This window comes from Homo sapiens, chromosome 1 (assembly GCF_000001405.40).
Source record: "Homo sapiens chromosome 1, GRCh38.p14 Primary Assembly".
NCBI classification, from domain to species: domain Eukaryota; kingdom Metazoa; phylum Chordata; class Mammalia; order Primates; family Hominidae; genus Homo; species Homo sapiens.
In genome coordinates this window covers 62752691-62775777 of record NC_000001.11, presented here as the reverse complement: position 1 = coordinate 62775777, position 23087 = coordinate 62752691, and the positions used below count along the sequence as shown (strand labels likewise).

Genomic DNA, 23087 nt, shown 5'->3' with positions numbered 1-23087 from the left:
AAATAGATAAATTGGACTTCCTCAAACTGAAAATGTTCACTCATCAAAGGACAGTGAAAAGACAACCCACAGAATGGGAAAAAATATTTGCAAATTATGTATCTGATAAGGATATAATATTCAGAATAAAGAACTCTTACAGCTCAACAACAAAAATATAACAACCCAATTAAAAAACAGGCAAAGGACTTGAATAGACATTTCTCCAGATGAGACATACAGGTGGCCAATAAGCACATGAAAAGATGCTCAACATCACTAATCAACAGGGAAATAAAAATCAAAACCACAATGAGATATCACTTCTGTTCTAAGAATATAGATGTTGAATATGGTGTAGTAAAGTTGGTGCAACCACAGGAGAGGAGGACAAGGCTTGAAAGGAAGTGTGTCATACTCACAAGTCCCAGAGGGGAGGGTGGTCATCTCATGTCCCACAGGGCAACGTGAGAAGTACCAGGTTTGGACCAGTGGCAGAAGACAAGAGCAAGGGGAAAATCTAGGTCAGAGTCTTTTTGGAGTTTCCATGGTAAAGACAAAGCAGGGCAGAGTAAATAGTTTAGGATTGGCTAGTTTGAATAATTCCAGGAGGCTATGGGCTATGGGCGTTATCTCCAGTTGCCTGGTACCTGGCTCTGGGACATTCAGGATGGGGAAGCATTGGCTTGTGTGTGACAATTAGATAAGGAGATGGGTGATACGGTGAATAGATGCTGGATTGGTTGGTTTGTGTGAAAGGCATGCTCCTAGGCAAGTTGTTGTTATCTTTAGGAATTAGTTAGCCTGAGAAGGCTAATCTCTCCCAGAGTCAGTAAGGCTCTTGAATACCAGAACATCATGAATACAGAACATAGGAAAATATAGTTAAAATAACATTGACCCTGTACAGATGCCAAACAGAAAAACACAGAATCAAAGAAAACACAGTTAGAACGTATTAGGATGGCTATAATAAAAAAGTGAAAAATAAGAAGTGTTGGCGAGAATAAGATGAAATTAGAACCCTCATACATTTTTGATAAGACTGTTTAATGGTGCAGTCATTGTGGAAAACAGTTTGGACATTTCTCAAAAAGAGTTACCTCAATAGAGTTACCATATAGCCTAACAATTCCACTCCTAAACATATTTCCAAAAGGATTGAAAACAGGGACTCAAACAGATACTTGTATGCCAATGTTCATTGCAGCATTATTCACAATATCCAAAAAGTGGAAATAACCCAAATGTCCATCCACAGATGAATGGATAAACAAAATGTCATTTACCTATACAAAGAATATTATTTGGCTATAAAAAGGGGTAAAGTACAGATATAACATGAGTGAACCTTTAAAGGGAAAGAAGACAGCTAAGAGAAAAAAGCTAAGGGAAGGAAGACAGCTACAAAAGGCAACATATTGTATGATCTGATGTATATGAAATATACAGAATCAGCAAATCCATAAAGATAGAAAGCAGATTCGTGCTTTCCAGGGCCTGGCGGAGGGGCAAATGAAGAATGACTGCATAGTGGACATGGAGTTTCTTTTTGGAGTGATGAGAACAATATGGAAGTAGATAATGGTGATGATTGTGCAACACTGAGAACTCATTAAATGCCAATTAGCTGTATAGCTTGAACTGGCTGAAATGGTGAATTTCTGGTGGCTATGAGGAGAGACTCCTTCTGCTTGAGAAAAGGAGAGGGAAGAATAGAGTGGGCTTTGCTTGCACCTTAGGTACCAGTTTGGCCACAGTGGGGAAGAGCACCAAGTGGGCATTTGGGGTCCCTGATTCCAGGCCTTGGCTCGTGGACAGCATTTCTGGACCTACCCTGGGCCAGAAAGTGGCCCGTTGTCCTGAAGGGTGAGTCCTAGGCCTGGCAGCACTCACTACAAGCTGACTGAAGAGCCCTTGAATCTTAAGGGAACGTTGGGAGTACCCTGGATTACTCCCCATGGGCCTGTGGTGATGGTGGACATGGGTAGAGACACCTCTGCCTGAAGAAAAGGGAGGGAAAAAATGGGAAGGACTTTGTCTTGTGGTTTTAGTGTCAGTTTAGCTGCAGTAGAACAATACCAGGTAGATTTTTAAGGTTTCCAGTTCTGGGCCCTAGCTCCCAGACAGCATTTCTGGACCTGTGTATGGTGGAACTGCTGCCCTGAAGGGAATGACACCAGACTGGCTGGCTTCATCACCTGCTTATTGTAGAACCTAGGGTTGTGACCAAACATAGGCAGCATCCAGATAGTTGTTATAGCATGTTTTAGGCAAGACCCAATGCTGTGCTGGTTTCAGGTCTGACCCACCATAGTCTTAGCTGTGGTGGCCACAGGCGTGCTGTGTCACCTCTCTCCCAGCTCCAGGCATCTCAGCACAAAGAGAAAGACCCCATTTGTTTGGGAGAAAGTAAGGAAAGAGAAGAAGAGTCCCTGCCTGGTAATCCATAGAATTCTTCCAGATCTTATCCAAGACCACCAAGGTGGTACATCTATGAGTCTGCAAGAACCACAGCATTACCGGGCTTGGGGTACCACCTAATGCAGATATGACTGCAGTGACCAAAAACTTAGATTACAACACACAAGTCCTTTTAAATACCTGGAAAGCCATCCCAAAAAGGACTGGTACAGACAAGCCCAAACTGCAAAGACTATAATAAATACCTAACTCTTCAATGCCCAAATAATGACAAACATCCACAGGAATCAAGACCATCCAGGAAAACATAACCTCACCAAATGAACTAAATAAGGCACCCAGGGCCAATTCCAGAGAGACAGAGATGTGTGACCTTTCAGACAGAGAATTCAAAATAGCTGGTTTGAGGAAACTCAAAGAAATTCAACATAACACAGAGAAGGAATTCATAATCCTATCACATACATTTAACAAAGAAATTGAAATGATTAAAAAGAATCAAAAAGAAATTCTGGAGTTGAAAAATATAACTGACATACTGAAGAATGTATCAGAGTCTCAGTAGCAGAATTGATCAAGTAGAAGAAAGCATTAGTGAGCTTGAAGACAGCTCATTAGTTGTGAAAATACAGAGGGGACAAAAGAAAAAGAATAAAAAAGAATGAAGCACAGCCTACAAGATCTAGAAAATAGCCTCAAAAGGACAAATCTAAGACTTATTGGCCCTAAAGAGGAGGTAGGCAGATCAGGGTAAAAAGTTTATTCAAAGGGACAATAACAGAGAACTTCCTAAACCCAGAAAAAGCTCTCAATATTCAAGTACAAGAAGGTTATAGAACACCAAAGAGATTTAACCCAAAGATGACTACCTAACGGGTTTAATAATCAAACTCCCAAAGGCAAATGATAAAGAAAGAATTCTAAAAGCAGCAAGAGAAAAAAACGAATAACATACAATGGAGCTCCAATACTTCTGGCAGTACACTTTTCAGTGGAAACCTTACAGGCCAGGAGACAATGGCATGACATATTTAAAGTGCTGAAAGAATAGTATAGAATTCCCCTGAATAGTATATCTGATGAAAATGTACTTCAAACATGAGGGAAAAATGAAGACTTTCCCAGACGAACAAAAGCTGAGAGATTTCATCAACATCAGGCCTGTCCTGTAAGAAACGCTAAATGGAGTCCTATAGTCCCATCATCAGACCTGTCCTATAAGAAACTTTCAGAGTGGAGTTCTTCACTCTGAAAGAAACTTCACTCTGAAAGAAAATAATATTAGTGAGCAATAAGAAATCATCTGAATGTACAAAACTGACTGGTAATATCAAGTACACAGACTCTGAATATTATAATACTGTATAATATAATAATATAATACAATAAAATACTATATATAATATAATACTGTATATAATAATTTAATATTATATTATAATACTGTATAATAATTGTGGTATGTAAACTACTCATATCTTAAGCAGAAAGATGAAAAGATTAGCCAATCATAAATAATAGCTACAGGCCAGGCGCAGTGGCTCACGCCTGTAATCCCAGCACTTTGGGAGGCAGAGGCGGGCGGATCACCTGAGGTCAGGAATTCAAGACCACCCTGGCCAACATGGTGAAACCCTGTCTCTACTAAAAATACAAAAATTAGCTGGGCGTGGTGGTGGGCGCCTGTAATCCTAGCTACTTGGGAGGCTGAGACAGGAGAATCGCTTGAACCCGGGAGGCGAAGGTTGCAGTGAGCCGAGACCGGGCCATCGCACTCCAGCCTGGGCAACAGAGTGAAACTCCATCTAAAAATAGTAATAATAGGCTGGGAGTGGTGGCTCACGCCTGTAATCCCAGCACTTTGGGAGGCTGAGGTGGGTGGATCACGAGGTCAGATCGAGACCATCCTGGCTAACATGGTGAAACCCCATCTCTACTAAAAATAAAAAATAAAAAAATTAGCTGGGCGTGGTGGTGGGCGCCTGTAGTCCCAGCTACTTGGGAGGCTGAGGCAGGAGAATGGTGTGAACCCGGGAAGCGGAGCTTGCAGTGAGCCGGAGCTTGCAGTGAGCCGAGATCACACCACTGCACTCCAGCCTGGGCTACTGAGCAAGACTCTGTCTCAAAATAATAATAATAATACCTACAACAACTTTTCAAGACACAGACAGTACAATAAATACAAATAGAAACAATAAAAAGTTATAAAAAGCAGAAAGATGAAGTACAGAGTTTGTATTAGTTTTCTTTTTGCTTGCCTGTCAGTTTGTTGGTTTATGCAATCAGTGTTAAGTTGTCATCAGTTTAAAATAATGGGTTATAAGATACTGTTTGCAAGCCTCTTGGTAACCTCAAATTTAAAAGCATACAATGGATACACAAAAAATGAATAATTTAATCGTACATTTAAAAATAACTAGAATATATAAGAAGCTCAAACAACCCTGTAGGAAAAAATATAACAATCAGATTGAAAAACGGGAAAAATATCTGAATAGATATTTCTCAAAAGGAGACATACAAATGCCAAACAGGCAGATGAAAAGGTGCTCAAATTCAATGATCATCAGATAAATGCAGATCAAACCTACAATGAGATATCATCTTACCCCAGTTAAAATAGCTTTTATCCAAAAGATAGGCAATAACAAATGCTGGTGAGGATGTGGAGAAAAGGGAACCCTTGAACACTGTTGATGGGAATGTAAATTAATACAACCCCTATGGAGAACAGCTTGGAGATTCCTCAAAAAAAACTAAAAGTAGAGCTACCATACAATCCAGTAATCCCACTCTTAGGTATATACCCTCCAAAAATGGAAATCTGTATATCAAAGAGATATCTGCACTGCCATGCTTATTGCAGGACTATTCACTACAGCCAAGATTTGGAAGCAACCTAAGTGTTCATCAACAGATGAATGGATAAAGAAAATGTGGTACATATATACAATGGAATACTATTCAGCCATTAAAAACAGGAATGAGGTTCTGTTATTTGCAATAACATGGATGGAACCTGAGGTCATTATGTTAAGTGAAATAAGCCAGGGACAGAAAGACAAACTTTGCTTGTTCTTACCTATTTGTGGGAGCTAAAAATTAAAACAATTGAACTCATGGAGATAGAGAGTAGAATGATGGTTACCAGAAGCTAGGAAGGGTAGTAGGAGGTTGAGGAGAAACTGGGGATCATTAACGGGTACAAAAAAATAGTTAGAAAGAATGAATAATATGTAGTATTTGATAGTACAACATGGTGACTATATAGTCAATAATAATTTAATTTTTTTTTTTGAGATGGAGTCTTACTTTGTCACCCAGGCTGGAGTGCAGTGGCACAATCTCAGCTCACTGCACCCTCTGCCTCCCGGTTTCAAGCAATTCTCTCACCTCAGCCTCCCGAGTAGCTGGGATTACACAATGCCTGGCTATTTTTTGTATTTTTAGCAGAGATGGGTTTTCACCATATTGGCCAGGCTGGTCTTAAACTCCTGACCTCAAGTGATCTGCCCACCTTGGCCTCCCAAAGTGCTGGGATTACAGGCATGAGCCACCATGGCCAGCCTAATTGTACATTTAAAAATAACTAAAACAGTATAATTAGATTATTTGTAACTAAGGAATAAATGCTTAAGGTGATGGATACCCCATTTCCCCTGGTGTGATTATTACACATTGTATACCTGTATCAAAATATCCCATATACCCCATAAATATATACAGCTACTATGTACCCACAACAATTAAAAATAAAAAATTAAAATGAAAAGAAATAATGAATTTCATGTTATGTGGAATCATGTTATGTACATTTTTTAAAAACTGCACCAAAAAATAAAGTCCATCTTATGCTGGACATTTTGGATCTGACTGTGTCACCTAGAAGAAGAGGTACTAAAAGGATAAAATGATACAATGTATATAAAAGCTTCAAGCACACACAGCTACATAGGCAATACATAATATCTATTATTATTCTGAAGTAAATTAATATTAATCTATAGGTATTTGGGTTTATAACCCAACAGAACAGCCATAAGTCTGTAAAATAAGAAAATGCTATTGCAGAAAAGTAGATGATGGTCTAGGCAATCTATTTGTTTCAATACTGAGAAAGGAGAACTGCAGTCATTAGCTTACTTATAATCATTTAATTAATGCTTCTTATTATGATTCTCTGTTTAAAACAATAGTTGTTCAACAATGTTAGCATTTTAGATGATTTCATTTTAAATAGGATCAATAATGCTAACAAGAAATTCCACATAAGTCTACACACAAGACTGTTATCATCTTTATGAAGATTATCATAGCTAAGTAAAGTTTCAATCTTTTGCAAAGAATAAAGATTGGTTGAATAAAACTAATTTTTTAATTTTAATGAAAACAATATTATTAAAAAGGGTTATCTTGGGCCGGGCCCGGTGGCTCATGCCTGTAATACCAGCACTTTGGGAGGCCGAGGCGGGTGGATCACTTGAGGTCAGGAGTTTGAGACCAGCCTGGCCAACATGGTGAAACCTTGTCTCTACTAAAAAAAAAAAAAAAATTGGCCAGGCTTGGTGGCGCACGCCTGTAATTCCAGCTACTCCGGAAGCTGAGGCAGGGGAATCGCATGAACCCGGAAGGCAGAGGTTGCAGTGAGCCAAGATTATGCCTGCACTCCAGGCAATTACTGCACTCCAGCCTGGAAGACAGTGCGAGACTCCTTCTCAAAAACAAACAAACAAAAAATGTTTATCTCCATAATAAATCTATAAAAATAAGTTTCCGGTCTTTATGAATTTATAGCAGTTACTGATAATTAATATTGAGCACGTTTATTGATTTAATGATGAATGCTTCCAGAAAGCTCTCCCTCAGCCCTCCATCTACCTTTAGTTGCCACCAAGGGTCTCTCCTCTTCATCACATTTAAACATTTTGAAAGAGGTGTCTTCCTTCACTAAAAGCATCTGTATTTCTTCAGAAGTTAGTTTCCTATTAATATTAATAAATTGCCATTTTAATAGATATTGTGGTTTCTATAAGCCTGGTGCTGTGTGTCTTTCTATTTCTTGAAAAAAAAAAAAAGCATGTTTTCATACCTACAAAGTTAAAGGTCAGGCTTTGTTTGAGCCTGGTAAATTCACTAATGTTTCCACCTTACATATATCCTTGGAGTCAGCCAGCTCTTTCTACAGTATTGGAAGGATAAAGAGATGCTGGCCAGGCGCAGTAGCTCACGCCTGTAATCCCAGCACTTTGGGAGGCCAAGGCGGGTGGATCACGAGGCCAGGAGATCGAGACCATCCCGGCTAACACAGTGAAACCCCGTCTTTACTAAAATACAAAAAATTAACCGGGCATAGTGGCAGGCGCCTGTAGTCCCAGCTACTCGGGAGGCTGAGGCAGAAGAATGGCGTGAACCCGGGAGGCAGAGCTGGCAGTGAGCTGAGATCGCACCACTGCACTCCAGCCTGGGTGACAGAGCGAGACTCCATCTCAAAAACAAACAAACAAACAAACAAACAAAGAGATGCTTAAGACCTAAACAGTACTTAAAGAAATGATCATTAAAATTAGATACTACTTCATACCCATGGAAGTGGCAAAATTTAAGACTGATGTTAATACTCCAGTGTTGGAGAAAGAATAGGGAAACAGATACTCTTACATCAATGGATGCAATGTAAATTGATCAAAGTTTCTTAAGAGTCAGATGACAATATGTATAAGAGTCTAAAAATCAGATGACGTTCCCTAAGTACAGCACTTGTAGAAATTTATTCTAGGGAAATAAACAATTATAGTAAAACATACATAAACAAAGATACACAGTATAGCAGTATTTATTAAATCACAAATTTGGAAACTACTTAAATCATTAATACAGGGGAATGACTAAATGAATTATAACACACCAATAGAATACAATGCAAACAATTTAAATCACATTGTAGAAGCAAAGTTATTAATGTGGAAAATGTCCAAAACATATTGCCAAATTAAAATAATTAAGCTATAATATTTTATGTTTGCTATAAAATATATTATGTATATGTTTACACAGGTATATCTATATCTATAAGGATTATAGCATTATGACTTCAGTTTATGTTTACTTTGTGATTTTTCTGTTTTTATTTCTGCACTGATTAGAATTGGCAATATCTGTAGAAGATATCCCCTGTATTAATGATTTAAGTAGTTTCCAAATTTGTGATTTAATAAATACTGCTATATTGTATGTCTTTGTTTATGTATGTTTTATTATAATTGTTTATTTCCCTAGAATAAATTTCTACAAGTGCTGTACTTAGGGAACGTCATCTGATTTTTAGACTCTTATACATATTGTCATCTGACTCTTAAGAAACTTTGATCAATTTACATTGTATCCATTGATGTAAGAGTATCTGTTTCCCTATTCTTTCTCCAACACTGGAGTATTAACATCAGTCTTAAATTTTGCCACTTCCATGGGTATGAAGTAGTATCTAATTTTAATGATCATTTATTTAAGTACTGTTTAGGTCTTAAGCATCTCTTTATCCTTCCAATACTGTAGAAAGAGCTGGCTGACTCCAAGGACATGTGTAAGGTGGAAACATTAGTGAATTTACCAGGCACTAATTCTTTTTTCAACTATTTAGTTCACTGTTTAATCCTTCCCTTGAGTTTGTTATTTAATTAACTATTTTTTATATCTAGAAATTTTATCAAGTCTACTTCAAATCTGCTTAGTCTTTTGAAATAATGCCTTGTTTTCTCACTATTTTTAAATTTACAGAATCACTTTTAACATTTTTGTTTCATAGTCCCTATCGAATAGTTGTATTTTCACATGTTCTTTGATTTCTAAGTTCTTGTATTTGCTATCTCATTCATGATAAGTTGTTTCCTCCTGTAACTAGGGATTTTGACCACATCTCAAGCAAAATAAGAATCTTATTAGTGGCCTGAGTTTAAGGTGTGTTCCTTCAGAAAAGTTTTGCAATTACAATTGGTTCTCATTATTCAAAAGAGTCCATATCTGCAGGTTCACCTACTTGCTAAAATTTGTTTGCTACCCCAAAATCAATACACATGGCTGTTTCCCAGTTATCTGCAGACATTCATTTGTGCCGAGCTGTGAAAAAATTTGAGTCCCCTGTGCCCATTTCCAGCTGAGGTCAAACAAGGCTAGGTTCCGCCTTCTTTCAGCTCACATACGGTAAACAAGTGTCCCTGTCTCAGTATATTTAGTGCTACATTATTCACATTCTTGTGCTTTTCGTTGGTGATTTTGCTGTTTAAAATGGCCTCCAAACATAGTGCTAAAGTGCTGTCTAGTGTTAACTCAGTGCAGGAGGATGTGTTGTCATTGTACACCTTAAATATATACATTTTTACTTGTCAGTTCTACCTCAGTGAAGCTGGGGAAAAAAAAAACAGTTAAAGAAGAAAAAGAGGCTGTGATGTGCCTTACAGGGAAAATACTATTAGGTAAGCTTTATTCAGGCATGAGTTATAGTGCTGTTAGTAGTGAGGTCAGTGTTAATGAATCAACAATACACATTAAAGAGGATGTATTTAAAAACATGTAAAACAAGGTTATGTATACAATAAGATAATAAAATTGTGTTAAGCAGTGAACTGTGGGGAGAGGGCAGGCAGGTAACTTTGGCATCACCAAGCTGTATGGGGGAAAAGTGTTTCAGTTCTCAGATCCATTTTATTTTATTTATTTGTTTATTTATTTATTTATTTATTTATTTATTTATTTATTTTAGTTATTTTTGAGACAGTCTCGTTCCGTCACCCAGGCTGTAGGGCAGTGCCGTAATCTCGGCTCACTGCAACCTTCGCCTCCTGGGTTCAAGCGATTCTCCTGCCTCAGCCTCCTAAGCACCTGGGATTACAGGCGCACGCCACCATGCCCAGCTAATTTTTGTATGCTTAGTAGAGACGAGGTTTTACCATGTTGGCCAGGCTGGTCTCGAACTCCTGACCTCAAGTGATCTGCACACCTCAGCCTCCCAAAGTGCTGGGATTACAGTTCAGATACATTTTACATGAATTTCTCAGCTTGAGGATCACTGCCATGCATGGAGCATAACTCCAGACCTGAGATCTGAATGAGGGCAGGCTTAAATGATAAATTCACAAGGGCAAACCACTACCTCTTTTTTCTCTACTCTGGTTCCAGAATAAGATAGATATCTTTATCTCAGCCTTGCTTGCTTGCTTGCTTAGTTTTCACTCAGCATTTCTATATATGTTTTAGCAAAAGAGTTTGGGCGTTGTCTTGTTCAAAATATTGCCTCTATTACTTTTATTTATTTATTACTATTTTTTTTCTTTTTTTTCACCAAAGCCAATTGTCCTGAATCTAGTACTTCTATAACTAGGAAAATATATTATTGAGAGTCCAGATATACCCTGACCACCCAAGAGAGGAGGGAAGATGTACAACAAATACTTCAATAAAATCAGTATATTCTGCAAAAGAGAAAAATAAGAGGTAAGGCATTTAAGCATTATTATCCAGGAAATATAAAGTAGAAGGAGAGGCTGGGATTTGGATTTAGACAATTCTAGATGCAAAATCTACTTCTCTCCCTTATGCCTATGGGATCCTGGGCCAATTAATGAACATCTCTCATCTTCATTTTCCCCACCTGGAAAATAAGGACAACATGTACAGCTGAGGCTATGCTACATTAGGTACTTGCTGAGATATCAATGACTAAGAGATTAAAGCAATGATATCCAAAGTGTGGCCTGCAGACTTCTGAGGTTTCCAAGACCCTTTCAAGAGATCCATAGCCAAAACTGTTTTCATAATAATGCTAAGGCATTGTGTCGTTTTTACTATGTTGATGTTTGCACTGATGCTGCAAAAGCAATGGTGGGTAAAAGGATTGGAAATTTACTGGAATCGAGGTAGTGGCACCAAACTGTGCTAGTGGCCATTGTTACTATTCACTGCTATGCACTCAAAGTAAAAAATGCCACTTTTATTTATTAATGTCATGGATAAAGCAGTAAAACTTATTAATTGTATTGAATTTCAAGTCTTAAGTAAAAGGTTTTTGGGTGACAAAATGGGAAGTACAAATAAAGCACTTCTGCTGCACACCAAAGCAGGATGATTATCTTGAGGAAAAGCACTTACGTGATTTTTCAAGTTGCCAGGTAAACTAGACAATTTTTTCTTGGAACACAATTTTTGTGTGAAAGAGTAACTAACAAGACAAACTATGTTTACTCAGACTTTGGCATCTGGCAGAAATTTTTTCAAAAATGAATGAAGTACTCCTGTTACTTCAAGGAAAACACCACGGTATTTCTTGCGGATGATAAAATTTTGAACTTTTAAGTAAAAATTAGAATATCAAAAAACTTTTATCTGCCACAGCGACCCTGTCAACTTCCAAATACTAAAGACTTCCCTGACTAGGAAAATGCACAGGTGGCTGGGTATGGTGGCTCACGTCTGTAATCCCAGCACTTTGGGAGGCCGAGGAAGGCAGATCATTTGAGCCTAGGAGTTCAAGACCAGCCTGGGCAACATAGCTGTCTCTACTAAAAATACAAAAATTCGCTGGGCAAGGTGGCATGCCTGTAGTGCCAGCTACTCAGGAGGCTGAAGTGAGAGGACTGCTTGAGCCTGGAAGGTGGAGGCTGCAGTGAGCCGTAATCACATCACTGCTTTCCAGCCTGAACAACAGAGTGAGACCCTGTTTCAAAAATAAAAATAAACTGTAATCCATTCCTCAGGAGTCTTGATCCTCCTTTCTGTCCCGTTTTTCTTCTCTCTATCCCTATAGGACTTATCGCCTTGTAGCATTCTACATAATTTACTTATTTCTCTGTTTGTCTATTCTCTATCTCACTTCACTAAAAGATAAGCTCTATGACAAAAGAAATTACTTGAGTTACATCTTCACTGATGTAACTCAAGCCTGTAAAACAGTGCCTAAGACATTGTAAGCATTACATACATATTCATCAAATTAACAGATGTTTGTAATAGTAATATCTTTTGTAAGTATATTTATAAAAACAAGATTATGCATCAAGTTCTTAAGTGTCATTATCTTGGTTATAATGCACATATTTCCCTATATTTTTAATTTTTCTCAATAAACCTGTGTTTTTTAAAAAAATCAGTATACACACACACACACACACACATCTATATATGTATGTACATTTAGCCCAGCTCAAATTTCTTTTTTTTTTTTAAGACGGAGTCTCACTTTGTTGCCCAGGCTGGAGTGCAGTGACACAATCTCTGCTCACTGCAGGCTCTGCCTCCCAGGTTCACGCCTCCCGAGTAGCTGGTACTACAGGCGCCCACCACCATGCCCAGCTAATTTTTTTTTTGTATTTTTAGTAGAGACAGGGTTTCACCATGTTAGCCAGGATGGTCTTGATCTCCTGACCTCGTGATCTGCCCACCTCAGCCTCCCAAAGTGCTGGGATTACAGGCATGAGCCACCACACCCAGCCAGCCCAGCTCAAATTTCTAACTCTGATACAAAACTCTCATCATTCAGAATTTATTCTTCTTTGATGCCATAGTAAGACTTTGGGTTTGTTTGTTTTTTGTTTTGTTTTGTTTTTTTGAGACTTAGTCTTGCTCTGTCTCCAGGCTGGATTGCAGTGATGCAATCTCAGCTCACTGCAACCTCCACCTCCCAGGTTCAAGGGATTCTCCTACGTCAGCCTCCCAAGTAGCTGCTGTGTCCAGAATTAGTGGGTTCTTGGTCTCGCTGACTTCAAAAATGAAGCCGCAGACCCTTGCAGTGAGTGTTACAGTTCTTAAAGATGGTGTGTCCAGAGTTTGTTCCTTTAGATGTTCAGATGTGTCCGGAGTTTCTTCCTTCTGGTGGGTTCGTGGTCTCGCTGACTTCAGGAGTGAAGCTGCAGACCTTCGTGGTGCGTGTTACAGCTCATAAAGGCCACGCGGACCCAAAGAGTGAGCAGCAGCAAGATTTATTGTGAAGAGTGAAGAAACAAAGCTTCCACAGTGTGGAAGAGGACCCCAGCGGGTCACCACTGCTGGCTCAGGCAGCCTGCTTTTATTCCCTTATCTGACCCCACCCACATCCTGCTGATTGATCTGTTTTACAGAGAGCTGATTGGCCCGTTTTACAGAGAGCTGATTGGCCCACTTTAACAGGGTGCTGACTGGTGCGTTTACAAACCTTGAGCTAAACACAAAGTGCTGATTGGTGCATTTACAATTTTCCAGCTAGACATAAAAGTTCTCCAAGTCTCCACTAGATTAGCTAGACACAGAGCACTGATTGGTGCGTTTACAAACCTTGAGCTAGATACAGGGTGCTGATTGGTGCATTTACAATCTTCCAGCTAGACATAAAAGTTCTCCAAGTCCCCACCTGACTCAGGAGCCCAGCTGGCTTTGCCTAGTGGATCCTGCGCCAGGGCTGTGGGTGGAGCTCCTCGCCAGTCCCATGCCCTGCACCTGCACTCCTCAGCCCTTGGGTGGTGACGGGACTGGTTGCCATGGAGCAGGGGGCCGTGCCCGTTGGGGAGGCTCAGGCTGCAGGGGAGCCCATGGGCGTGGGGGGGGATCAGGGCGGGGGGGAGGCTCTGGCATGGCGGGCTGCAGGTCCCAAGCCCTGCCCCACAGGGAGGCGGCTGAGGCCTGGCGAGAATTCGAGCATGGCGCGGGCAGGCCGGCAGTGCTGGGGGACCCGGAGCACCCTCCGCAGCTGCTGACCCAGGTGCTAAGCCCCTCACTGCCCGGGGCTGACGGCACCGGCCGGCCACTCTGATTGCAGGGCCTGCCAAGCCAGCGCCCACCTGGAACTCATGCTGGCCTGCGAGCGCTGTGCGCAGCCTCGGTTCCCACCTGTGCCTCTCCCTCCACACCTCCCCGCAAGCAGAGGGAGCCGGCTCCAGCCTTGGCCAGCCCAGAGAGGGGCTCCCACAGTGTAGCGGTGGGCTGAAGGGCTCCTCAAGTGGGGCCAGAGTGGACGCCGAGGCCGAGGAGGTGCTGAGAGCGAGCAAGGGCTGCTGGCACGTTGTCACCTCTCAATCACCCCTCTAAACAGGACACCCCAACTGCTGTTGGGAATTTGGCCAATGACTGCTCTAGCTACTTCCTGCTGGATAGTGGCAATGACTGCTCTAGCTACTTCCTGCTGGATAGTGGCAAAGAAGGTGCCCTGCAGTTGTAGTGTCCTCCAGAGAGGAACTCTTTAGGCCAGTGGAAGGACCAGCAGGTCGGTCCAGGGGTCCTCAGTAGAAGTTGTTAGTTGAGCTCATTTGGGGTTCCATTTGTAAGACCATCTGTAGCTTGATGGCCTCGATTCTAGAGGAAACAAATTTGACCAGAAGGTTAAAAATACAGGGCCCAAAGGCAAGTAACAGCAAGATAGCTGCCATGGGACCTAGAAAGGGGAGAAGCCATGTTGCCCAACTCCAGAGGTTGGTATAAGAGTTTGAAAGGCATTGTCTGATTTCAGAAGCCTTTTCCTGTAAACACCGGGCAGCATCTCTTACTATCCCTGATTGGTTCGTGTAAAAACAACACTCTTCCCCTAAGAAGGTGCAGAGTCCTCCTTCCTCAGCAGTGAGGAGGTCTAGGCCTCAGCAGTTTTGGAGAGTCACTGCTGCTAAAGAGTCTATTTGGGATTGTAGAGTAAGGATAGATTTCGTTATCTCTTGCAAACTGTCTGAGAAATCCTTTGAGAGTGTGTGGTAGTAGGATAATGAAGTAGATAAACTGGCTATTCCGGTTCCTGTAGCAGTTGCCATTCCTAACCCTATAAGTAGGGGTATTAGTTGTATGGCTCTGTGCTGACGAACTTGAGCTTTGAGGATTACTGATAAGGTCTGATTTCCACAAGATTAGAAGTTAGGATAATATATGTTTACACTGTTAACTTTTAGCAAACTACTTTTGTTGAAAACCTTGTAAGTTTGGGATTTCAATTACTCTCTGCTATTAATAATACCTCGTTCAGTCCATATTAACTTAAAATTGGTATAGATGGCTCCTTCCTGATTCTGTAAGTACTTTAAGGTTTGGCTGAGTGCAAACAGCTCACACATTTGAGCAGACCAATTATCAGGCAATTTTCCTAACTCTGCTTCTACAAGAGTTTCCTTATCACCTACTTAATACGCATCATGTCTTTTTCCCTTAATCGCCTGTGAGGAACCATCTATTGTCCTGTCCTGAAGGGAGTTCCTCCTAGAGCTGGTTGGACCTTTGTATGGTAATTAGTTAAGATTTAGATCCCCTGTTAGGAAACCTGCTGGGTTAAGGATTTTTGATAGGAAGGCTATGGGTTGTCAGTGGCCTCAGTGCTTTCAGGCTATGCCCTTGTTTACACTGACAATGAGGTGGTATTGGAGTGTTATAAGGTTACAGAGAAGACCTTCAATTATCAATTGTAGGTTTTAAATTTACCCTGGCTTTTAAAGGAATAGGGTACACTGTTTTTTATTTACTACTTCCATCTCTCTTTCTTTCTCTTTGACTTCTTCTTTGTCTCTCTCCTTCTGACTCCCTCTTTGTCTCTTCCTCTCTCCTTCTTTCTTTGACTTTTTGTCTCTTTCTCTTTCTCACTCCCTGTTTGTCTCTGTCTGTTTCTTTCTCTCTTTGACTTTCTGTCTGTCTCTTCCTCTCTCTGTCTCTCTCTTTCTCTCTGCTGGTCTTTCCCTGCCTCTGCCAGCTGCTTGTGCTGCTGTTCTCCCCTTTCCTTCCCCTTTTTGATGGCTTCGGCAGTGTAAGACTGCCACCTCCTTGGGTTTTTGCACTGCGTGCAATAACTCCATAATTTCTTTGTGGTATTTAATGGGGGTTCCCCCAGAGGTTAGGAACTCCCTTTCTTTCCATATTGCAGCATGAGCATGTAGGATTAGATAAGCATACTTGCTATTTGTATACACATTTATTCTTTTTCCCTTTCCCAGTTCTAAGGCTCAAGTAAGTGCCACTACTTCTGCTAACTGGGCACTGGTCCCTGGGGGAAGAGACTTACTTTCAAGTACAGTTACATCATTATCTATGGCATAACCTGCCCTTCATACCCCATTCTCCACAAATGAACTTCCATCGGTATATAGGTTAAGGTCAGGATTAGCTAAGGGGACTTCTAAGAGATCATCTCGGGCGGCATAAGTCTGGACTATAATTTGTTGGCAGTCATGCTCGATTGGTTCCCCATCCTCTGGGAGAAAAGTGGCAGGGTTGAGGGCCATGCACGTACCTATTTGAAGCACCAGTCCCTCAAGGAGTAGCGCTTGGTATCTAAGTAGGCAGTTGTCTGATAGCCATAAAATTCCTTTGGCACCTAGTATGCCATTTACATCATGAGTAGTCCAGATAGTGAGATCCTTTCTTTGTATTATTTTGACAGCTCCTGACACTAAGACAGCCACCACCACAACTACCTGTAAACAGTGAGGCCAGCCTTTTGCTACCACATCAATTTCCTTACTTAGGTATGCCACTGGTTGTGGGGTTGTCCCACGAGTCTGAGTAAGGACTCAAAGAGCTATCCCTACTCTCTCTGTGATGTATAAAGAGAAGTTTTCTCCTATGGGAAGGCTTAAAGCTGGAGCTTGTACAAGGGCCTGCTTTAAGGTTTTGAAGGCTGTTTCTGCCTCTGGTTCCCATTCTACTAGATGAGTATTTGCTCTCTGGGTCTCCTTGATTAGAGTATAGAGGGGCCTGGCTATCTTGCTGTATCCTGGGATCCATAGTCAGCAAAAGCCAGTGATTTCAAGGAACCCCGCAACTGTTTTAATGTCTTAGGGTGAGGATAAGCCAGTATAGGCTGTATTCATTCCTTGCTGAGGGCCCTGGTCCCTCTGGCTAAGATTAGGCCTAGATATTTGACCTGCTATAGGCAAAGCTGGGCCTTCGACCTAGACACTTGTACCCTTGATTAGCTAGAAAGTTCAAGAAATCTAGAGTAGCCTGCTGGCATGAAGCTTCCGAACTGGTAGCCAAAAGTAAATCATCCAAATACTGAAGGACCAGAGTGCCTGGACTTCAGAAGTGGCCTAGATCTTGGGCCAGTGCCTGACCAAACAGGTGAGGGCTATCCCTAAGCCCTTGGGGCAAGACTGTCCACATAAGTTGGGACGTGTGGTCTGTGGGATCCTCAAAGGCAAAGAGAAACTGGGAGTCAGAGTGCAGGGGAATACAGAAGACATCCTTGAGGTCCAGAACAGTGAACCATTCTGCTTCCTCTGGTATTTGAGAGAGCAGGGTATAGGGGTTGAGTACAACTGGATATAGAGGAATTACTGCCTCATTGATGAGTCTAAGATCTTGCACTAGTCTCCACTGACCGGTTTTTGTACTCCTAGAATTGGGGTGTTGCAGGGACTGCTGCATTTCCTTACTAAGCCTTGAGCTTTTAAATGTTTAACAATATCCTGTAATCCTTTATGAGCTTCAGGTCTTAAGGGATATTGCCTTTGATAAGGAAAAGTGGTGGGGTCTTTCAGTCTGATTTGGACTGGGCGGGCATTTTTTGCCCTTCCAAATTGTCCTTTCAATGCCCAGACTTCAGGGTTGATTCCCTCCTCAAGTAGGGGGACAACAAATGGGTAACTTGTTCCCCATATTCATGTAGATAATAGCTCCAGCCTTGGCTAATATATCCCTCCCTAATAAGGGTGTGGGACTTTCAGGCATAACAAGAAAGGCATGTGAAAAGAGCAAAGTCTCCCAATTACAACTGAGGAGGTGGGAGAAATACCTGGTTACAGGCTGTCCCAGGATTCCTTGGATGGTAAGGGACCTTGAGGACAGTCATCTAAGACATGAGATTAACACTGAGAAGGCTGCGCCAGTGTCCAGGAGGAAGTCAATTTCCTGGCCCTCAGTGGTTAACTGTACCCAGGGCTCAGTGAAGGTGATGACATGAGCTGGCACTTGCCCCGGGCACCCTCAATCCTGTTGTTGGATCATCTGGTTGGGGGCTTCTGACCCAGAGAACCTTCATCCTCTGGAGCAGTGCACCTTCCAGTGATTGCCTCGGCATAGTGGACGTGGACGAGGGGGCAGCTTGTTTCTCATTGGACAATCTTTTTTAAAGTGTCCTAATAAACCACACTGATAACAAGCCCTACCGGGTGATTGGCCTGCTTCATTTTCTGTCCTCTCTGAACCACCAAGGTTTGTTTGTCTGAGGGCCATGACTAAGGCTGCAGCCTTTCTCTGATCTCACTTTTCCTTCTGGGCTTGTTCGTCTTGGTCCCTATTATAGAACACTGAGGTTGCCAGGTTTAATAATGCCTCCAGATTTTGTTCAGGGCCCAGGGCTTGCTTTTGGAGCTTTCTCCTGATATCTGCGGCTGATTGGGTAATAAACTTATCTTTTAGAATCAGTTGACCCTCGAGTGATTCGGGAGACAGGGGAGTATATTTTCTTAAGGCCTCCTGTAGCTGCTCAAGGAAGGCAGAAGGATTTTCTTCCTTTCCCTGAGTTATGGTGGACATCATTGAATAATTCATGGGCTTTTTCCTAATTCTCCTTAGTCCTTCTAGAACACAGGTCAACAGATGTTTATGACTCCAGTCCCCATGATCTCATTCAAGGTCCCAGTGGGGATCCATATTGAGGACAGCTTGCTGACTGGTAGGGAATTTATCACTTTCTTCGGCTGTCATTTTATCATTTACTTGACTAAGATACCAAGTATCTCCAAACTCTTGGGCTGCAGCTAAAGCTGCATTGTTTTCATTAAAGGCCAGGGTTTGATCTAACAGCAGCATGACATCTCTCCAAGCGAGGTTGAAGGTTTGCCCTAGACCCTGTAGGACATTTATGTACCTACCAGGATCATCTGAAAACTTCCCCAGGTCTGCCTTGATCTGCTTTAAATCAGAGAGGGAGAAGGGGACATGTACCCGGGTTGGGCCAAATTCCCCTCCCCCTACAAGCTTGAAGGGGACATAACCGATAGCCCGGGGGGGTTTGTGGTCCTTTGGAGATTTCTTTGCTTATTTCCTTCTGGGCAGGGGAGATTAGAGGAGTATTATCATTCATAGGAAGGGGAGCTATAGGGAGTCTAGTATATGGGGGTAAGCTGAGAGGTCCTCCTGTGGGATGTAAATTGCAAGCTTTGCATAGTTGTGTATTCTCCTTCAATGAAAAGAAAGCTTGGACATAAGGTATTTCACTCCATTTGCCTTCCCTCTTACAGAAAAGGTCAAGCTGCAGGATAGTATTGTAATTTGTACTTCCCTCAGGTGGCCATTTTTCCCTATCAGAGAGAGAATATTGGGGCCAAGCTGTAGTGCAGAAAAAAATGAGCCGCTTCTTTTTCAGGGTTTGTGGGTCAAATTGGTCCCAATGGCTGAGGATGCATTTCAAGGGTGAGCCTGTTGATGCCTGAGTGTTTCCCATCTGAAAGACAAAACCGCCCACAGTTTTGGTTTGTTTTGTTTCTCCCCCTGCCCAAGAACCTGCAACGGTCCCTGGACCCTGCTGATCAGAATAATTGCGCTCTCCGATGCAGCAGCAGAAACACTAGTTTTTCCCCCAGACCACAAGGAGGACCGAGGAAGGTCGGATTTAGTGGCTCTTACCGACGCATTCTTGAAAATCTGCACCCTTGCCTGTCCTCCTAGACCACAAGGAGGACTGAGAAAAATCAGATTTAGTGGCCCTTACCAATGCATTCTTGAAAACCTGTTAGAGTCCTAAGCATTCTCCTGTTAGTACTGGGACTTTACCCCTGTCCTATAAAGATGTTATGCCCCAAAAATGAAGTGGAGGTCCATACCCTGAGGGAGGGAAGGGATCTCCAGGGTTGGAAGAGTGACACCTTTTGTCCTCACTTATATGAATAGGAAGGATACAATTTTTGAGGCTTCCCATATCCTCACTTGAGGAATAGCTTTTGTTAGGCCTGTTAGTCTGAGGAGGGATCCTAAAATTCCAGATAGTCCCCCCTACAATGGGGCTTTGGGCAAACATTATGTCTTTCTGATTGGTGAGCCAGGGTGCCTAAAGAAGGTAACAGAGTCTTGGAGTTTATACTAGAAGTCATTCTTATAGGAGAAACTAGAAAACACCAGAGACGGAGTGATTTTTAGAAGTGGGACTAGCCTCGGAGAAGAGAGGTGAGAGGAAGTTTGTCTGGCAGGCATTAGGACCCAGGGGGCAAGGGTCAGGATAGATAGGATAGATGGGTGAGTCTCGCTTGGGCGACATGCCTTTGAGAATTCCGCTCATGGCCGCAGGGTCAACAAACTTGTTGTTGGGACCCTGGAGCTGAATGGCTTTCCTCTCTGTCAACCCTCGGCTCAGCCCAGAAGTACGGGAAAAGCGGAAGCTGGTTCCAAGCAAACCAACCCTCCCACTCCGAAGAGTCGGGGGTTGTTAGAGAGCCCTTTCCCAGAAAGCCTGACACCCGTGTCTTTAGTCTGGCAGCCATGCTAGTTGCTTTTAACTGGCCGACAGGTGCCCGGTATTTAGCCCCCGAATTCTAAGGAAAAATAGGACAGAATAGCAAGTGAAAGAGGTCTGATGGTACTCACCGCTTGGTGATAGGCGATAGTCCCATCTGGGCTGCCAAAATGTGTCCAGAATTAGTGGGTTCTTGGTCTTGCTGACTTCAAGAATGAAGCCATGGACCCTCGCAGTGAGTGTTACAGTTCTTAAAGATTGTGTGTCCAGAGTTCATTCCTTCAGATGTTCAGATGTGTCTGGAGTTTCTTCCTTCTGGTGGGTTTGTGGTCTCGCTGACTTCAGGAGTGAAGCTGCAGACCTTCGCAGTGAGTGTTACAGCTCTTAAAGGTGGCGCGTCTGGAGTTGTTCGTCCCTCCCCAGGGGTCCATGATCTCACTGGCTTCAGGAGTGAAGCTGCAGACCTTCATGGTGAGTGTTACAGCTCATAAAGGCCATGTGGACCCAAAGAGTGAACAGCAGCAAGATTTATTGCAAAGAGCAAAAGAACAAAGCTTCCATGGCGTGGAAGGGGACCTGAGCAGGTTGCCACTGCTGACTCGGGCAGCCTGCTTTTATTCCCTTATCTGACCTACCCACATCCTGCTGATTGGTCCATTTTACAGAGAGCTGACTGGCCCATTTTACAGAGAGCTGATTGGCCCATTTTGACAGGGTGCTTATTGGTGCACTTACAAACCTTGAGCTAGACACAGAGTGCTGATTGGTGCATTTACAATCCTTTAGCTAGACACAAAACTTCTCCAAGTCCCCACTAGATTAGCTAGACACAGAGCACTGATTGGTACGTTTACAAACCTTGAGCTAGACACAGAGTGCTGATTGGTGCATTTACAAACCTTGAGCTAGACACAAAGTGCTGATTGGTGCATTTACAATCCTCCAGCTAGACATAAAAGTTCTCCAAGTCCCCACTAGATTAGCTAGACACAGAGCAGTGATTGGTGCATTTACAAACCTTGAGCTAGACACAGGGTGCTGATTGGTGCATTTACAATCCTTTAGCTAGACATAAAAGTTCTCCAAGTCCCCACCCAACTCAGGAGGCCAGCTGGCTTCACCTAGAGGAGCCCGTGCCGGGGCCGTGGGTGGAGCTGTCCACCAGTCCAATGCTGTGCGCCAGCAGTCCTCAGCCCTTGGGCGGTCAATGGGATCAGGCACCGCAGAGCAGGGGGTGGCACCCATTGGGGAGCTTCTGGCCGCGCAGGAACCACAGGGTGGGGGGGTCACTTGGGCATGGCAGGCAGTGGGTCTCGAGCCCTGCCCAGCGGGGAGGCGGCTGAGGCCTGGCGAGAATTCAAGCATGGTGCAGGCTGGCCGACAGTGCTGGGGGACCCTGCGCACCCTCTGCAGCTGCTGGCCCGGGTGCTAAGCCCTTCACTGCCCGGGGCCAGCAGCACTGGCCGGCCACTCCAAGTGCGGGACCCACTGAGTCCACGCCCACCCGGGACTTGTGCTGGCCCATCAGTGCTGCGCGCAGCCTCGGTTCCCGCCCACGCCTCTCCCTCCACACCTCCCCATAAGCGAAGGGACCCAGCTCTGGCCTTGGCCAGCCCAGAGAGGGACTCCCACAGTGCAGTGGTGGGCTGAAGGGCTCCTCAAGCATGGCGAGAGTGGACGCCGAGGCCAAGGAGGCGCCGAGAGTGAGCAAGGCCTGCTAGCACATTGTCACCTCTCACTGGGATTACAGGCGCCCACCAGCACGCCCGGCTAATTTTTGTATTTTTAGTAGAGTTGGGGTTTTGCCATGTTGGCCAGGCCGGTCTCAGACTTCTGACCTCAAGTGATTTGCCCTCCTCAGCCTCCCAAAGTGCTGGGATTACAGGCATTGGCCACCACACCTGGCCAATTTTGTGTGTTTATTAAGTGCTGTTCACATTCTTCCTTGTTTTTTCATTCATTATGTACATGCTTACCTCTCTCAGTAAATTTCAAGCTCTTGAAAGGCAAGCCAATGTGGCGTTCACATAGAACTCTAGTTAATTGAGTTTTTGACTGGCCATGCCACAAAGATAACATTTTAAAAACTACAGTGGTTTTTGTTTTGTTTTGTTTTTTCTGAGATGGAGTTTCGCTCTTGCTGCCCAGGCTGGAATGCAGTGACGTGATCTCGGCTCACTACAACCTCCGCCTCCCGGGTTCAAGTGATTCTCCTGCCTCAGGCTCCTGAGTAGCTGGGATTACAGGCATCCGCCACCATGCCTGGCTAAATTCTATTTGTATTTTTAGTAGAGACAGGGTGTCA

At 43.0% G+C, this 23087-nt stretch overlaps 1 long non-coding RNA gene across 2 annotated transcripts, besides 3 other annotated features; it reads right to left on the bottom strand.

Annotated features, from left to right (window-relative positions):
* Positions 1-12918: 12918 nt before the first annotated feature.
* On the bottom strand, positions 12919-21372 carry LOC124904194 (uncharacterized). 2 transcript variants are annotated; one of them, XR_007066148.1, is made up of 2 exons: positions 20914-21372; positions 12919-19777 (listed from the first exon to the last, which is right to left on the bottom strand). It is a non-coding gene; the product is annotated as an uncharacterized LOC124904194 (long non-coding RNA). The 2 variants fall into 2 exon arrangements; XR_007066149.1 differs by having other exon boundaries at positions 12919-14715.
* Positions 19068-19613: an enhancer, noted in NCBI's record as "OCT4-NANOG-H3K27ac hESC enhancer chr1:63221836-63222381 (GRCh37/hg19 assembly coordinates)". NCBI's record gives its function as "activates a minimal SCP1, AML or CMV promoter by ChIP-STARR-seq in naive and primed H9 embryonic stem cells {active_cell/tissue: H9 hESC(naive and primed)}" and the evidence as "EXISTENCE:reporter gene assay evidence [ECO:0000049][PMID:30033119]".
* Positions 19614-20160: an enhancer, noted in NCBI's record as "OCT4-NANOG-H3K27ac hESC enhancer chr1:63221289-63221835 (GRCh37/hg19 assembly coordinates)". NCBI's record gives its function as "activates a minimal SCP1, AML or CMV promoter by ChIP-STARR-seq in primed H9 embryonic stem cells {active_cell/tissue: H9 hESC(primed)}" and the evidence as "EXISTENCE:reporter gene assay evidence [ECO:0000049][PMID:30033119]".
* Positions 20161-20706: an enhancer, noted in NCBI's record as "H3K27ac hESC enhancer chr1:63220743-63221288 (GRCh37/hg19 assembly coordinates)". NCBI's record gives its function as "activates a minimal SCP1, AML or CMV promoter by ChIP-STARR-seq in naive H9 embryonic stem cells {active_cell/tissue: H9 hESC(naive)}" and the evidence as "EXISTENCE:reporter gene assay evidence [ECO:0000049][PMID:30033119]".
* Positions 21373-23087: the final 1715 nt, after the last annotated feature.